The following is an 18049-nucleotide window of genomic DNA, read 5'->3' on the forward strand; positions in this document are numbered from 1 at the left end:
GGAGACGGGGCCCTCTCCAGCCCCCAGCGGTCCCCACCGACCCGGTTGCCCACAGGATATCACCGCCCCCATCCCAGGGCCCACCAGAACCAACAGGGAGAGAGAGGCAGGTGAGCACCCCCCAGCCCCGCGCCTCCTGTCAAGGGGACTCCCCAGACACAATGGTCCCTGGTGGCCCACGGCCTCTCCTCCCTACACCCCCATGACCTGGGCCCAGGGACACAGGGCCCCTCCCCACTCCTGTCACAGCCAGGGCCTGAGCCCAGAGACCCCAGGATCCCACTGGGCGATGCCCTCCCCACGAACTCAGGGCCAGGGGCCAGGCCGCGGATTTATTTATTTATTTATTTATTTATTTATTTATTTATTTATTTTGAGACGGAGTCTCGCTCTGTCACCCAGACTAGAGTGCAGTGGCACCATCTCGGCTCACTGCAACCTCCGCCTCCCGGGTTCAAGCGATTCTCCTGCCTCAGCTGCCTGAGTAGCTGGGATTACAGGCGCCTATAACTGCGCCTGGCTAATTTTTGTATTTTTAGTATAGACGGGGTTTCACCATCTTGGCCAGGCTGGGTTAGAACTCCTGATCTCGTGATCCACCCACCTCAGCCTCCCAAGGTGCTGGGATTACAGGCGTGAGCCACCACACCCGGCTTCAGGCAGGGGATTTAGAGGGCATTCTGGGCACACCTCCCCCCGGGGCAGATGGGGAAACTGAGGCTGAGACTGGTCAGTGTCACGGGCACAAAACACAGACCCTCACCCCCAGGCTGGGCCTCCCCCCATCACTCTGCAACAGCTGAGGAGCCCCAGGCCCCCAAGAGTCCAGCACCGCATCACCCCACTGCCCTCCGTGAGGCCCTCCACACAGCCCCGACCTGGGTCTCCATGGATCCCCACAGGGTCAGCCCCACACCCCAACCTCCCGGCAGGGCCGTCTCCAGGGGACTGTCCAGAAACCCCCAAAGATGCTTCCCTTTTCTGTTGATGGGAGCCCCTGGGCACAGAGGATGGGACAGCGGCTGTGGGTACCCGAGGGCTGGAGCCACACCCTAAGGGATGGAGGGCAGGGTCCGGGGCCCAGTTAAGGGCTCCCCCTCCACTCCTGCGCCTTCAAGGTCGGCCTGCACCTCCCCTGCTCTGTGCCAGTGCAGGCCAGGCAGGGGGCTGAGGCCGAGGCCTGGCCATTGCCCTCCTGGTCACGATCTGGTGAAGGATTTGAGTCCAGAAGCCAAACGTCTACAGTCGTGTGGTGCGGACACTCAGGATGGACTGCCCAGGCCATGGGGGGCTCTGAATGAAGAGGAACCTGCGGGGGCGAGGTGGGCTGCGCGTCTGCAAGAAAGTGCATGAGTTGAGTGCTGCTGCAGAGGGAAGCTGGGGTCCACCGCTGGTGAGCGGGGAGGGGACGGGACACAGAACCGGCCGTGGCCCACCCCGAGACGGAGGCGCAGACACCAGGCCCGTTCTGTGCTCTGGAGGCTTTGGGCAGCTGTCAGGCTAGTGGACGGTGTGCAGAGCAGATGGAGGCGTGAGGAGGCGGCTCCGGGGTCACCTAGGTGGGCAGCCCTCACAGGGGAGGCCGAGGGGGAGGGCAGGAGGGCGGAGCAGGCGGCGGTGCAGGAGGCCCGTGGAACTTGGAGGGCTCTGTGTCCAGCTCTCATGGCCCAGGGCGGGGGCAGCTCCAAGGCCTCGGGCTTGGGGACAGAAGGGAGAGGACTTGGGGGTTGGGGGTGGTCAGAGCATTGTGGGAGGGATCTGGGGCAGCTGGGGCTTCCCAGAGGGTGAGGTGTCTGCTGGGAATTGGGGCAGCCCCAGGCGTCCCCAGGCCTCCAGCCCAGCCCCGGTTCCTCCCCGCTGCAGGCCAGGGTATCAATTGCCTGCTGGGAAACCTCAGGGTGCCTCTGTCTCAAGTGCCTGCCCCTGACACTCCTGGCCCTGGGCTCCCCCCGCCTCCCCGTCCGTCTGCTTTCCCCACCTCCTCCCCTCCCCTGGCCGTCTTTCTGCCTCGGGGATGGCGTCACCTCTCACCCCAAATCAGGACCCTGGGCCCCAGCTCTGTTCCCCACCTCACCTTCCTTGTGACCAACTCCTGACCTCCCATGGGCTTGGGGTGTCTGTGGCCGGAACATTCCTCAGACCCTCTCCTCCAGCCCCACTCTGTCCCACCACCCGGGCATCCCCCACCTGGGTTCCAGCCCTCCAAGGGGCCCCACGCTCTGTGTCCATGATCAGGACACTCACACGCACCCAGCTCGCGCCCTTCCTTCCAGACATTCGAGCTCTGGAAGCTCACAGTCACCCTAGCTTAGTGCACAGCCACAGGCCAGGCACCTTCAACATCCCCACCTTCCAGGTGAGGAAACCGAGGCACCGAGAGCTGGGGGCCAGGCCAGGGGGTCTCCCTGGGGGGAGCAGAGGAGTGTCGGACCTCAGAAGAGGCTCTGGGGGTCTGAGCCGCCACTGGGCGCTGCCTTCCAGGTTCAGCAGGGACAGAGCTCAGGGGGAAGGCACCTCCCGTCTTGGTTCAATACATGGACCCCTGACCCTGGGAAAGGGACTGAGCCAGGGGAGGCCTCAGGTCACTGCACCATGAAGTTGTGGGGAGCTGCGGGGGCCTCTGGGCTCCGAGCTGGGCAGGCACAGCGTGGGGACCACGTGCTGAGGGGAAGAAGCGTGCCAGGGTGGATGTCTCAGTGCACACACAGGAACGTGAAATGGCTGAGCCGGCCCAGAGAGGCAGCGGAGCGTGTGCGGGGTGGCCGGCGGAGAAGCAGCAGGATCCCAGGCGGGAGGGCACGGCCTTCTGAGAGGCAGGTTGCAGGACAATACTCAGTGTTTTGATCCAGGAGGTCCTATTAGGGCGTTTCATTGATAAACGCACATTTGAGGTGGAGGGTGGCCAGTGTAGAATGTGCCTGGCAGCTTTCACAGCAAAGGAGAATTCTAGAACCAACCGAAGTGCCCCTCTGAAGGGAGCTGGTCCCGTCCGTTCCAGCCGCCGTGGAGTAACACAGCCAGCAGTTTCCCTCCTGCCACGAAAGCTCGAGACTGAAACTCAGGATGAACTGTTTTCAGCCCGGGTCACCCCAGCCCTGGGGTGGAGGCCCATTGAGGATGGCCGAGCAGGGGCGGGCATCCAGGCAGGTCCAGCAGTCCTGGCGGGCTGAGGAGAAGGAGGTCAGGGCTCAGGGAGGCATCCGCAGAGGGACCTGGCAGGCAGAGCTCCGGAAAGGAGGGAACTGCACAGACAGAAAGCTCCAGAAGGCTGCCTGAGGGTCTCTGAGGCCTCCGGAGTCGGGCGCCATGCATGTGGAAGGTGGACTTTCAGCATGGGTGGGACCCTAGGGGGCTGTGGACCCCCGGCCCCTGGGACTCACAGGTGGGAGACAGGAGTTCCGACCGCCAGGGGGAGAGTCCTGGAGGATCCTGGGCTGTCGGCAGCCACCCAGCAGGGCCCGTCCTGGGAGTGGGGCTGGACTCTTCCTGCAGGAAAGGCTGGGCTGGACCTGCTCTAAGAGGCTTCAGAACCAGCCACACGAAGACCAAAGTGAAGAGCAAGGAGCTGAACTCCACGCAGAACACAGCGCAGCGTCCTTTAAAGGAAGGCCCAAAACAACCCAACAAAAATGCCAGGTGATCAAAGCCGTCACAGCACAATGTCCACATCCAATGAGAAATTGCTGCTACGTCCAGATGCAGGGAAGAGTAACCATGGGAATGTGGGTCAGTAGCAACAGGCCCAGAAGGGCAGCCACAGTGGAATTGTCAGGCGTGGACCCTGAAATGACAATCACAACGTCCTCTAAAGGAAAATGTAAGCCTGGTGTGAGAAACGGAGGACAAAACAAAGAGCCAGGTCTGAAATGAATAACGTCCTTGTAGGCACACCAGTCCCCCTGGGCGGCTGTCACAGGACGCCGCGGTCTAGCTGGCTTCCCCGACGGAAATGCTGTCTCAGGCCTGGAGGCTGGAAGCTGGCGTGAGGGTGGCAGCAGGTTTCGCTCCCTGGGAGCTCGGCTGTGGTCTGCAGATGGCATCTTTCCGTGTGTCCTCACGCAGTCGCTTCTCTGTGTGTGCACTTCCCTGACGTGTCTCTGTCCAAACTTCCTCGTCTGAGGAGGACTCCAGTCATTCTGGATCAGGGCCCACCCATATGGCCTCATTCAGCCAGTCACCTCTTTACAGTCCAATCTCTTCATCCCATCCCATTCTTAGCGTGAATTCTGGAGGGATCCTGTTCAGCCAATAACAGTAGGATTAGGCCAGGTGTGGTGGCTCACACCTGTAATCCCAGCACTTTGGGAGACTGAGGCAAGAGGATCTGCCCAGGAGTTCCAGACCAGCCTGTGCACAGGCAAAACCTCATCTCTCCAAAAAAGACAAAAATTAGCCAGGCCTGGTGGCGCACACCTGGAGTCCCACTTACTTGGGAGGCTGAGGAGGGAGGATCAGTTGAGCCCGTGAGCCCCGGAGGTCACGGCTGCAGAGAGCCATGATCACACCACTGCACTCCAGCCTGGCCGACAGAGGAGGCCCTGCCTCAAAACAAAAACAAAAACAGGAGGATTAACAACAGATTAGACAGCTCAAAAGGAAACACCAGTGAACTTGAAGATATACTATCAGAATCTACCCCAAATGAAAAACACACAGAAAATGAATAAATGAACGTATTCTCAAAGATCTCCTGGAAAATATCGAGCTGCCTAACAGAAGTGCAGTTAGAGTCTCAGAGAAACAGAAAGAGGCAGGAACAGAAAATCATTTGAAGAAAAAGCAGTGAAAGTTTTCTAAACTACAAGAAAACTGTGATCCCACAAATGCAGAAAGCTCAACAGACCCCAAGAGGGGTAAATAGAGAGGCATGCACTGCACAGCAAATCCTAATCAATGCCCAGGAACCAGGGACACAGAGGGGACCTGGACACCGGGGTCAGGTGAGGCCACCTTTGGGTACAAAGACGCAAAGATAAGGGCCGTGCGGACTTGTCCCCAGGAACAGTTCAGGTCAGAAGGTGAGCAAAACATTTTTACAATGCTGAAAGAACATTTCACCTTTGAACTCCAAACCCAGTGAATCTGTCTGTCAAAAATAGACCACGCTCGGTGGCCTCCGCCTGTGGACCCAGCAACTCGGAGGCCGAGGCAGGAGGATCACTTGAGCCCCAGGATTCAAGGCCAGCTCTGGCAACAGAGCAAGACCTTGTCTATTAAGCTACAAAAATAAATGAACTGGAGGCTGGGCCCAGTCTAGGGGACTGAGGCGGGCGGATAACTTGAAGTCAGGAGTTTGAGATCAGCCTGGCCAACATGGTGAAATCCCATCTCAGCTAAAAATACAAAAATTATCCAGGCATGGTGGCACATGCCTATAGTCCCAGCTACTCTGGAGGCTGAGGCATGAGAATCGCTTGAACCTGGGATGCAGGGGTTGCAGTGAGCCAAGCTCCCACCACTGCACTCCAGCCTGGGTGACAGAGTGAGACCCTATCTCAAATATATATATGAAAGCAAATCAAAGACTGAGGACATACTGACAGCTGAGAGAATTTCTCAGCAGCAGACAGATTTGCATGACAAGAAACATCCAAGGACTTTCTTCAAGCACAAGGAAGTTTTTTCATAGGGAAATTGTTTCTTTTTTTTTTTTTGAGATGGAGTCTCACTCTTTCTCCAAGCTGGAGTGCAGTGGTGCCATCTTGGCTCACTGCAACGTCTGCCTCCTGGGTTCAAGGGATTCTCCTCCGTCAGCCTCCCATGTAGCTGTGATTACAGGTGTGCACCACCATGCCTGGCTAATTTTTGTATTTTTAGTAGAGATGGGGTTTCACCATGTTGGCCAGGCTGGTCTCGAATTCCTGACCTCAGGTGATCCGCCCACCTTGGCCTTCCAGAGTGCTGGGATTACAGGCGTGAGCCACCTTGCCTGGCCTCATGTGGAAATTGAAATCTGCTCAAAGGAATTATGGATGAAAGAAATGGCAAATGTGGGAGGAAATTTTTTTCTCATTTTTAAATATCTTCAAAAATAATAAAATGCTTAACGCAAATATGTTAGTGATGCATTGTGACATTTAAAGCATATACAATTAAAACCTATGACAGTAGTATAAGTTATGAAAGGGAAAGGCAAGTGTGTGCTGGTGAGATTCTTCTGCATTTCCCGCTGCGTGGGAAGGTGCAGGCATGTTTAGTGGTCACACAACCTGAATATAGGCTGTGATAAGTGCAGATGGATGTCACAAACCCTTCAATAACCACTAAATAAGGAAAACAAAGATGTATCACTAAGAAGGCAACCATGGGGATGAAATGAAATACTACAGAAATAATCAAACAGAAGGTAGGACAACGGGAAATCAGAAATATGAAACAGCAAATAATAGAAAGATGGTGTGCCCACATCCAGCTGTATAGGTAATGACTTTGAATATAAATGGCCTAAATAGTCCAATTAAATACAGAAATGGCCATATCAGATACAAAACCAACAGCCAACTAAAGGCTGACTACAAGAAACCCACTTTACATTTTAAGAAATGGGCTGGTTAAGCCAGGTGCGGTGGCTCATGCCTGTAATCCCAGCACTTAGGGAGGCAGAGGTGGGAGGACAGCTTGAGCCCAGGAGTTCAAGACCTGCCTGGGCAATATAGAGAGACCCTCTTCTGCAGAAAAAGGGGAAAAAAAGACACACACACACAAAAGAGAAATGGGCTGGGTAAAAGCAAAAGGATTGCAGCTGGAAATTACAAGACAGAGCTGCAGAGACCAGGGAGTGGTGCAGAAGCTGAGCCCAGGAGATGGCATGCAGAGTCGCCCCATGCCTCAAGTCTGCAGGTGAGACAGGATGTGTCTTTCTAAAGGTCAGGAGCCAGGCAAGGACTCCCATCCTACCACCTGCACTCAACATGGTACTGGAGGTCCTAGCCAGTGCAATAAGACAAGAAAAAGAAATGGAAGGCATAGAGATTGGACACAAAGGGGGAAAAAGACATTGCCTCTTTGCAGAGAATGTGCTCATGTGTATAAAAGTCCTAAGAAATCGACAAAATGCCTGTGAGAACTAGTCACTTTATTATCAAGGTCACAAGATGCAAGGCCAATATTTTAAAAACTAAACATTGGAATTTGAAGTATAAGGGAAACAAGAACATATTTGCATCAAAAAACAGGAAATGCTTAGGGGAAATTTAACAAAATACCCGCAAGGCCAGTGAAAACGTTGTCGAGAGAAGTGAAAGAAGTTCTAATAACTGGAAAGGCATGGCATGTGGATACATCAGAAGACCAAGTATGAGGAAAATACCCATTGTCCCCCAAATGGACCAATGCAATCCCAGTCAACATTCCAGCAGGCTTGGTCGTCGAAATCGAGAAACTGATTCTAAACATGTATATGAAAACAGACAGGACATTTACCAGCCGAAATAATAGTGAAAAGGAAGAGCGAAGTTGGAGTATTTTCATTTCCTGACTTAAAGACTTACTGTAGAGCTTCAGCCATTGAGAGAGAGTGGGGCGGGCATGAGGCGTGCCAATAGGTCAATGAAACAGGAGCGGCCAGAGAGAGACCCATTCACAGATGATGCAAGCATTTCTGACAGAGGTGTCAAGGTAATGCAATGTGAAGAAGGTAGTCTTTTTGGCAAACAATTTCTGGAATACTGGATAAATGACAGGGGACAATGGCCTTAATCTTTACCTACACGACACAAAAAATTAGCTTGAAACGAACGATAGGCTTGAATGTAAAGCTCAAACTATAAGACTTCCTGCGAAAAACATTGGAGAAAATATCTGTGACCTGGACGTGGGCAAAGATTTCTTAGACAGGACGCAGAACACAAGAGCTACGAGAGAAAATGTTTGAAATTGGGACTTATTGACATTAGCAACTCCTGCTCTTGGAAGTATGCTTTCCAGGAAATGAAAAGGCAAACCACGCATTGGGTGACAATTCCAACACTCTGAGAAAATTCTTACAAGTCAATACGAGGACAAACAGCACTATTGTTTTTTAATGGGCAAGATTTGAACTTCACCAAAGCCATGAAAGGGTGGTCAGCATGCACAGTCATTCGGGAAATGACGTTAAACCACTGTGAGATTCCACTCCACACCCGTCACGGTGATGGAGAGGAAAAGTTCTGACCATACCAAGTGTGGGAAGGACATGGGGTAATTAGAGCTCCCACGTGCTGCTGGCAGGAGCCTGAAATGGTACAGCTTTGGACATCGGTTTGGCAAATTCTTTTAGAGAGAAACACACACCTTCCCTAGGACCCAGCAACTCCACTCCTAGTAACCAAGTGAAATGGAAGGAGTTGTCCTCAGCAAAACGTGTGTGCGAAAGTTCACAGTCACTTTCTCGGTGATAACCAAGAGCTGGAAACCACTGCAACACCCACCAGCAGGTGAACGGATTAACACACTGGGCTAGGGCCACACAATGAGATGCTACGTGGCAACACAAAATGAACCGTGGACACACACTGCACGGCGGATGAATATGCAGACATCAGGCCACGTGAAGGGAGCCAGGCCCCGAGGCGCCACGCTTTGTGATTCAGGTGAAATTCTGGGACAGGCAGATCTAACCTGCTGGGAGAGAGAGGTCAAGGATGATGTGGCCAGGGCTGGGGAGGGGTTGGGAAGGGGCTCATGTTGCTGGGGTGTCAAAACAAAGCAAAGGGCCACAGACTTGGGGGCTCAAGAAATGGAAACGCAATGTTGTCATGGTTCTGGGGGCTGGAAGTCCAAGATGCAGGGGCAGGTGGGGTTGGTTCCCTCCTGGGCCTGCAGATGGTACCTGCTCCCTATGTCCTCACAGGGTGGTCCCTCTGCCCCCAGGACACTGGCGCCTCTTCTTCCTATAAGGACACCATTCCTCCTGTGTAGTGCTGGCCATCATTACGTCTCTTCACCTTAATCAGTTCTTTGAGGGCCCCATTTCCAAACATAGTCACACTGGGGTGTAGGGCTTAGACCTGTGAATTGGGGGAAACGTCATTCAGTCCATAGAAGCTCAACAAGGGAACTTTCTTGGAAATGTCTTCATCACAAAAGTGATGGTGGTTATGTGAGGGCAGGCACTTGCCAGACTCAAGGCTCACAGGCTCACAGCGGGTGTACTTTATTGGACGTCATACGGACCCTGAAGCAGGTGATGTTTCCAAGTGGGAATTGGTACCAGGCTGTCCTATGTCTGTCCATCCCTTGGGTCCGTCTGCACGGAACAGACCCGTGGCCCACAACCCCAGTGTGGCTGCAGCCTGATGAATCCAGGAGTCTTGGCCCAGCCCCGAAGCCCCTGGGAGGTCCGGCCCCACCCTGGGAAAAGTCCAGGCTGTGCCCAACTCTCAGAAGATGTTGACACCCATAGGGGCCCTGCCCCTGGCAGACTGCTCGGGCCTCCTTGGGCCGCTCCTTCCCTGATAGTCACAGGCTCTGAGGAGGTCGCATTCCACCTGCTCCACCGCGGGCTCCGGCAAACCCAGGTCTCCCCACCCCAGCCACTCCCGGCCCAGCCCTGCCCTGGGTTCACTTCCTCAAGGTCTGGTGTCCCCTCCCCCGAGCACTGTTTGCTTCTCTGTGTATGTATGTTTGCCCACATGTGTACACTTTTTTAGGCTGTGTTAATCTGTTCAACTGGTCAGGACAAAGTCCCACAGACTGAGTGGCTGAAGCCATGGGCAGCATTTTCCCACAGTCCTGGTGGCGAGAGGTCCCGGAGCCAGCGCAGGCAGGGTTGGTTCCAGGCAGCGTCTCTTCCTGGCTTGCAGAAGGGACCTTCTCATTATGTCCTCACCCGGCCTTCCCCTTGGCCAGGGCAGAGAGAGGGCGCTTGGTGTCTCTCCCTCCCTACAAGTCCACCTCCAAATGCAGCATCACTGGGGCTTAAGTCTCCACACAGAAAATCAGGGGAGACACAATTGGGTCCAGAACTGTCTCGGCTGGAATTCGGGTTCCCGGCGTGGCTCCACCAGGGCAGCAGCCCCAGAGGCAAAGAGGTCTCCTTCTCCGGCTGAGCTCATCCCTGGGGCTGAACTTTGCTGAGAGGATCAGCTCCCAGGCCTGGCCAGCCCTCCAGTGAGCACCAACTACGCTGGCTGCAGGGAGTGCTTGTGTCTGAAGAACTCCAGGCTGGTGTGCCCAGAGGGCGGCTGGAGGGGCTCAGAAACCATTTTCACTTTTCTGTCTCCTCCATGTCTGCACTGTTTGGGTTTGTACCCGCCTGTGTCGCTTTTGCACGGGAAGTGAGATGGAGAGACACGTGAACCACCATTGCTGGGGTTCCAGCATGGGGCCCCAGGGGACCCATGGTTTCCCAGAAGGAAGCTCTGCCATTGGACAGCCGGTCTCAGGCTGCTGCACAGGCCCCTCCCCGCCCTCAGCCCTGGCCTGCGGGAATCAGGAAAGGGTGGGGTCCAGCTGCATTGCGAATGGACTAAAGCCACTGATTTGCACACTTGCCAATGGCTGAAATGGTCAATAAAACGTCATGTACCTTTTGCCACAGGGAAGAAAGCACGCAGCCAAAGAGCGCAAAGAGGCTCAGAGGAGGCCCGGGTGCCCTGGAGAGACGCTGCGTCCTGACGACACAGCATCCCTGTCCCGCAGCGGAGATTTCCCAGATGAAGGATTCCCCGGCGGGAGACAGGGCCCTGCACACAGGTCCTCTGCCATGCTGCTCACCATGCCTGTGTGTTATCTCACCATGAAAAGTCACCTAGGCCAGGCATGGTGGCTCACGCCTGTAATCCCAGCACTTTGGGAGGTGGAGGCGTGCGGATCATCTGAGATCAGGAGTTTGAGACCATCCTGAGTAACATGGTGAAACCCCATCTCTACGAAAAATACAAAAATTAACTGGGCGTGGTGTTGGGCACCTGTAATCCCAGCTACTTGGGAGACTGAGGCAGGAGAATCACTTGAACCTGGGAGGCAGAGGTTGCAGTGAGCTGAGACCGCGCCATTGCACTCCAGACTGGGCGATGAGCAAAACTCCATCTAAAAAAAAAAAAAGTCACCTAAAGGATTAACAGTGTCAAACAGAGACGGAGGCTCTCGGAAGTCACAGCGTTTGCAGCAAGGTGGCTCCCAGAGCTGGGAGGAAAGCCCCGCCTGCAGCCAAGCTCCTGCTCCACCACCCCAGGTGCAGAGGGGCTGCCCCAGGCGGGGGACTCCAACTCCCTCTCAGCCAGGGCCAGGCCTGTGGGGTCCGGGCCTTCTCAGGGCCGAGGCCTCACTGCCCGAGCACGGGCCCTGCCTGCGGCAGTTACGCGGATGGTTCCTTTTTAAACGCAGGAGCTGCCGTCATCTTCTCTCACTCAACGGTCATCATGGAAAGTGAAAACGACGGTGCGGCTCCTCCCACGGAGGAGAGACAAGCTCACAGGTGGGGAAGCCAGACCCTCGAGGGTGAAGTGGGGGGCACAGCCCCGTCCTCCCTCAGATGCCCCGAGATAGGCCAGGGTGGGAGAAAGGGGCACCTGTCCCAGGCACTGGGTGGCCGCTGCCCGGCAGAGGGTCTCTGCCCCCATCAAAGGGAAGTGGAGGCCCCCAGGGTAGGTTCTGTTTGGCCTGCATTTATGAAGCACCTACTTTATGTCTGGAAGTCAGGGGGCCCGGGGCAGGCTCTGTTCAGCCCACATTTATGAGGCACCCACTATATGCTGGGCAGTGAGCACTGGGATGGCTGCCCAGGCTGGCCTGTCCCACGGAGGAGAGACAGGCTCACAGCAGGGAAGCCAGAACCCCGAGTGTGAAGTGGGGGGCATGGGATCAGAGGTGGCCCAGACCCCATGAGCTGGGGCTGCACCAGGCACAGAAAGAGCAGTGACAGCGACTCATGGCTTCGGGCTGCTCAGCTCCTGCCCGTGCCCACTGCAGGAAAAAACAAGGACTTCCGCCTCCCTGCGGTCCCTCCCCCACACCCGCCCACATGGCCAGGACGTGACTGTCACCATGGGGACTTCCGCAGGGCCTGGTGCTTTCCCAGACAGGTGACTGCCAGTCTGGTCTCAGCCTCCCCTAAGCAACATTCCAGGATCCTGCGGAAAGACCCACCCAGGCCTGGGCCTTCCCTAGTCTGTGCACCACTGCGTTTGAGACGCTGGGCTGTGACCCCTGGCGGCAGCTCCACTCTGCTGGAGCTGGGGCTTGTTTTAAATTATGACCTAAAACTCTAAAACCCTCGCCTGTAATCCCAGCACTTTGGGAGGCCGAGGCGGGTGGATCACGAGGTCAGGAGATAGAGACCATCCTGGCTAACACTGCACTCCAGCCTGGGCGACAGAGCCAGACTCCGTCTCAAAACAAACAAACAAACAAACAAAACACTCTAAAACCCTCAAAGGAAAACACAAGCCTCTTGATGTTAGACTTGGTAGTGATTTCTTGATTTCTTGGGTATGACAGGAAAAGGACAGGCAGAAACGTGTAAAATAGATACATGGGGCTTTACAAACAAGAATGAATAGAATGAAAGGCAACACATGGACTGGGAGGAAATGTATCAGATAAGGCATTCCGTCTAGAATTTGTAAAGAACCCTCACACCCCAACAACATCAAAAACAAACCACTGGGTGAAAAAATGGAAAAGGACTAGAATAGAGAAGACACACAAATGGCCACCATGCCCCTGAAACAAGGCTCGGTGCCACCAAGCATTTGGGAAATGGGAAACGCAAATCAGAACAACGGGGAGACCACCTCAGGCCCAGCGGGATGGACGGCTTCTTTTAAAGCCCCCAATACAGAGAATAAGATTTTTTTTTTTTTTTTTTTTTTTTGAGACAGAGTCCTGCTCTGTCGCCCAGGCTGGAGTGCAGTGGCGAGATCTTGGCTCATTGCAACCTCTGCCTCCCGGGTTCAAGGCATTCTCTTGCCTCAGCCTCCCGAGTAGCTGGGACTACAGGCACCTGCCACCATGCCCCGCTAATTTTGTATTTTTAGTAGAGACGGGGTTTCACCATGTTGGCCAGGCTGGTCTTGAACTCCTGACCTCAGGTGATCCACGCACTTTGGCCTCCCAAAGTGCTGAGATTACAGGCATGAGCCACCGTGCCCGGCCTGGAGAGGAATAATTGTTGCTGAGGAAGGGGAGAAATTAGAATTCCCGTGCACTGCTGGCGGGAATGGGACATGGTGCAGATGTTGTGGAAACCATTAGGGCAGTTCCTCTAACAATTAAAACTACAATGACCATGTGATCCAGCCACTCCGCTTCTGGGTATAGATCCCAAAGGACTGAAAACAGGGACTTGAGCACATATTTGCACACCCAGGTTCACAGCCGCAGTGTCCACAAGAGCTCGAATGTAGACGCCACGCAAAAGCCCATCAACAGGTACAAGAATAAGGAAAATGTGGCCGAGAGGTCCAGTGGAAGGTGCTCAGCCTTGGAAAGGAGATCGAACACAGGCTGTGCTATGGATGGATGTTGAGGAATTTATGCCACGTGCCATAAGCCATTTATAGAAGACAAAGGCCATTATGATGCCACTTCTATGAGGAGCCTACAATTGTCAAATTTATAGAGAGGAAGTAGAGCAGTGGGTGCCAGGGGCTGGGGGAGGCAGTTAGTGTTTCATAGGTGAGGGTTCCAGTTTAGGATTGTCAACAAATTCTGGAGATGGATGGTGGTGATGGCTGCAACAATGTGGATGTACCTAATGCCACTGAACTGATCTTAAAATGCTCCGCGTGGTGAATTTTATGTCATGTATATCTTATCACAATTACAAAATAGTTTTGAGGCTGGGCACGGTGGCTCAGCTTGTAATCCCAGCACTTTGGGAGGTCGAGGCAGGTGGATTGCTTGAAGTCAGGACTTCAAGACCAGCTTGGCCAACATGATGAAACCTCATCTCTACTAAAAATACAAAAATTAGCCAGGCGGAACCTGTAGTCCCAGCTACTTGGGAGGCTGAGGTGAGAGGATCACTTGAGCCTCGGTGGCAGAGGTTGCAGTTAGCTGAGATTGCACCACTGCTCTTCAGCCCGGGTGACAGAGCCAGATCCTGCCTCAAAAATAATAATAATAATAATAATAAAAGAAAGAAAGTTGATCAAATCCCATCTTTGGTGTATATAGGGTGGGACTTGGGGAAACACAGCTGCTCTTTCCCAGGGGTCCTCTGCAGCCTGCCCACCTGGTTGAGTCTGTGAGGCTTCTCATAGGGACATCCTGGGCTTTGCTGGAGGGGGATGGGCAGGATGGCAGGGGCCAGGGGCCATTTGGGATGGAGCTGGAGCGCTCCAGCATCCTCTCAGCCACAGTGGGGCTGCGATTCCTGCTGCTCAGAAGCAAGGCGAGCCGGCCAGAGTGGCTGATAACTGAGCGTGCGGTTGGCAAAGGTGGTTACCAGGGTTTGTTTTACAGATGAAGAAACTGAGGCTTAGACAAGGTGGTGACTTACCCACAGTGACCCAGCTGGGCGGTGCCAGAGCCAGCATCTGAATAAGCCCTGGTCTGATGCAGGTCCTGCGATCTCCCCACGCCCTGACAGTGACCTATCTTTGTGCACACACGTGTGTTTGTGTACTGGGCACACCTCCCCTAAGGTTTGCAGGGCCCAGGGCTAGAACAGAGATGTAAACACGAGAAGAGGCAGGAAGGTGTGTGCCATTATCAAAAGAAAAGAGAGGCTGGCCAGGTGTGGTGGCTCATGCCTATAATCCCAGCACTTTAGGAGGCCGTGGTGGGTGGATCACCTGAGGTCAGGAGTTCAACACCAGCCTGGCCAACATGGTGAAACCCCGTCTCTACTAAAAATACAAAAATTAGCCAGGTGTGGTGGTGCGCGCTTGTAGTCCTACTTGGGAGGCTGAGGCAGGAGAATCGCTTGAACCCGGGAGGTGGAGGTTGCAGTGAGCTGATACTGTGCCACTGCACTCCAGCCTAGGCGACAGAGCAAGAATCCGTCTCAAAAAAAAAAAAAAAAAAAAAAAGAAAGAAAAGAAAAGAAAACAGAGGCAACAGAAGCAGAACCTCAGATGTGAGTGTCAGTAGACAGGTATTTTAAAATAACTCATTCATGTGTTACTAAAAACAGGAAATGCCGTCTAACGGGATCTCTGGATGGAGAATTCCACAGCTGATTGGAACCTAAACGAGAGAACCAAATGGACATCCCAGGGCTGCAGGTCAGTGTCATGAGACGGGTGATGGCAGACTGGACCCCGTGGCAGGTGGACCATGGAGGGGAGACAGAGACAGGGCAACAGAAACGGTGCAAACAGCCACTGAAATACCCGTGGGAAAGAAAAGCACAACAGAGAACAGGAGACTTATGTGACTCCGACTCAACAAGACGCATTAGTTAAAAGATCTAATATATGCGTATGGGGCTTCCCAGAATAAGAGGAAGGAAGGAAGGAAAGAATGAGACATCATAAGATAGTGTTAAAAAAAAAAGAATTCCCAGCCGGGCACGCTGGCTCACGCCTGTAATCTCAGCACTTTGGAAGGCCATGGCGGGTGGATCACCTGAAGTCAGGAGTTCAAGACCAGCCTGACCAACATGGTGAAACCTTGTCTCTACTAAAATACAAAAGTTAGCTGGGCATGGGTGGTGGGCACCCGTAATCTCAGCTACTCCAGAGGCTGAGGCAGGAGAATCGCTTGAACCCAAGAGGCAGAGGTTGCAGCGAGCTGAGATCGAGCCGTTGCACTCCAGCCTGGGCAACAAGAGCAAAACTGCATCTCAAAACAAACAAACAAACAAATAAAATAAAAGAATTCCCAAACTGATTAAAGATACCAACCCACAGACTCAAGAAGCCTAGTAGGACTTCTGCTGCTGGCCACGATGCTGCAACTTGTCAATGTAAAATAAACAACAGAGAGACTGGCTCTCCCAAATAAAGTTTACTGGGGGATGGCAGGGGATTGCAATCTGGGATATGCATGCTGAGGGGGACCGTAGGTGTATCTTTCTTTTAGGGGTGGGAAGAGGAAGTCTACACAGATTGTTTTGGAATAAACCTCCCTGGGTACAGGAGCTTATTGCAGGGTTGGTGATTACTCATGGGTAACATGATTGTTGCGGGGGAGATGTCTTCATAGGAGCAGCTGATCTGGAATGTTGTGTGCTGTCGGAGTCCCTGTAACAGTTCTCATCATAGGCACCCGAGCATGAGGGACCTTCCGTTGAGGCCTCCCAGCTCCGTTTTGCTTGGGTCCTGACATAAGTGACTCTGCCTTAGTATTGACAATTTTCACACAGTGGAGCCAGTTTCCCCCATTTGTGCCCCCTCCCCCAGTTCATATGCTGAAACCGAATCCCTAATGTGATGACATTATGAGGTGGGGCTTCGGCATGTGCTTAGGTGGGTAGTGAGGGTGGAGCCCTCGGGAATGGGTTAGTGCTTTTATTTATGTATTTTATTTTATTTTGAGACGAAGTCTCACTCTGTCGCCTAGGCTGGGAGGCAGTGGCATGATCTTGGCTCATTGCAACCTCTGCCTCCCAAGTTCAAGTGATTCTCCTGCCTCAGCCTCCCGGGTAGCTGGGATTACAGGCATGCTCCACCACGTCCAGCTAATTTTTGTATCTTTAGTAGAGATAAGGTTTCACCATGTTAGCCAGGCTGGTCTCGAACTCCTGACTACAGGTGATCCGCCCACCTCGGCCTCCCAAAGTGCTGGGATTACAGACGTGAGCCAAAACACCCGGCCAAAGTTAGTGCCTTTAAAAAGGAGGCCCCCCAGAGCCCCCTCATGCCTTCCACCCTGTGAGGACACAGCATGAAGAAGTGATCTAGGAACCAGGAAGGGGTCCTCGCCAGACCTTGAATATGCCGGCGCTTTGATCTTGGACCTCCAGCCTCCAGAAATGTGAGAAATCAATTTCTGTTCTTTAGAAGCCACCCCATCTATGACTAAGACACCCTCCCACCTTCATGCTACTGAGTGGACAAGCTTACATGAAATGACTGTTTTCACATATGTGGCACCAGGCAGCCCAGGGATGCCGGTGAAATCTCTGGGTAAGTCTCTTTGGCCTCTGGTACTGGCAGCTTCTCCTGTTAAGAGGGCAGTCCTCCACGAGTGTCTCGTGCCCCCCACCTCTCACAGGGTGTGCCAGGAATGCAGGCCCTGAGTACCCTCCCCCATTTCTCAGGGTGGTTTGCCCTGAGAGTCCTCTAGGGACAAAGAGCAGCTTGCTCACTGCTTGCTGCAGAAACAGCTGACTCCCCCAGTGCAGGGCTCCTCAGTGGCCACGCAAACCTACTGACTGTGCAGTGCCCACCCAGGCCTACCCACATGGCACCCGTGGAATTTGGGGGCAAGGGGATAAGACCAAACACACAGGTGAGCACCTGCCTGCCACGCCATGAATGAAAAAGTCCTTTGTCTCTGACCCCGGAGTTTCACGTCTTCTGTCAGCATCCCTGCTGCGGTAACGGGCCAGCTCTTCCTTTGTAAGGAAAGCTAAAACCCAGTCCCAGAGCTGGCACCACCTGGAGGAGGAAGTGCTCTTCCCTGCCCCTCCTTGGCCATGTGACTTGCTCTGGCCAGTGACATGGGAGTGCAAGCGACACATCCCAGCTGTGCATGGCCGCTGGGAGAGTGTGGCATGGTTTCTCCATCTCTCCTCCATGTCCTCCCTTGTCAGGAGAACGGCATGTTCCAGAGAGCCACAGCTTGCTCAGCCTGGACCCCAGAACGAAGGAGGCATCAGAAGCTGAGCCACCCGTGGCCGACAAGAAACCTGAGTGGGAGGGGAAACTTGGTTGCTGTGATCGACCCAGGCTTGCGAGTTGTTTTGGCAACACAGCCTAGCAAGAGCCGACCAATATGTCATTGATGAAAGAAAGTCAACAGGCGTGTAGAAGGAGCTGTCTACTGAGCATGTCTGCACTTTTCTGAATTATGTTGCACTTGAGTAAAAAGTAAGCAAGCCTGTCTATTTACTTTAAATGATGTGTGCCAGATATGTACAGTATGCAGAGTTAAGAAGGTGCCACCCCAAAATAGGCTGCTCTGGCATAGTCACTATTAGGAATTAAAGGCAGTTAAAACAATAACAGGTGCA

At 53.7% G+C, this 18049-nt stretch overlaps 1 long non-coding RNA gene across 1 annotated transcript, besides 2 other annotated features; it reads left to right on the forward strand.

Moving 5' to 3' along the window:
• LOC100996583 (uncharacterized) lies at positions 40-18039 on the forward strand. Its single transcript, NR_121638.1, has 4 exons — positions 40-110; positions 15065-15155; positions 16875-17000; positions 17630-18039. It is a non-coding gene; the product is annotated as an uncharacterized LOC100996583 (long non-coding RNA).
• Positions 970-1842: an enhancer, noted in NCBI's record as "H3K4me1 hESC enhancer chr1:2498904-2499776 (GRCh37/hg19 assembly coordinates)". NCBI's record gives its function as "activates a minimal SCP1, AML or CMV promoter by ChIP-STARR-seq in primed H9 embryonic stem cells {active_cell/tissue: H9 hESC(primed)}" and the evidence as "EXISTENCE:reporter gene assay evidence [ECO:0000049][PMID:30033119]".
• Positions 11035-11671: an enhancer, noted in NCBI's record as "H3K4me1 hESC enhancer chr1:2508969-2509605 (GRCh37/hg19 assembly coordinates)". NCBI's record gives its function as "activates a minimal SCP1, AML or CMV promoter by ChIP-STARR-seq in naive H9 embryonic stem cells {active_cell/tissue: H9 hESC(naive)}" and the evidence as "EXISTENCE:reporter gene assay evidence [ECO:0000049][PMID:30033119]".
• Positions 18040-18049: the final 10 nt, after the last annotated feature.

Source organism: Homo sapiens, chromosome 1 (assembly GCF_000001405.40).
Source record: "Homo sapiens chromosome 1, GRCh38.p14 Primary Assembly".
In the NCBI taxonomy this organism is placed as follows: Eukaryota; Metazoa; Chordata; class Mammalia; order Primates; family Hominidae; genus Homo; species Homo sapiens.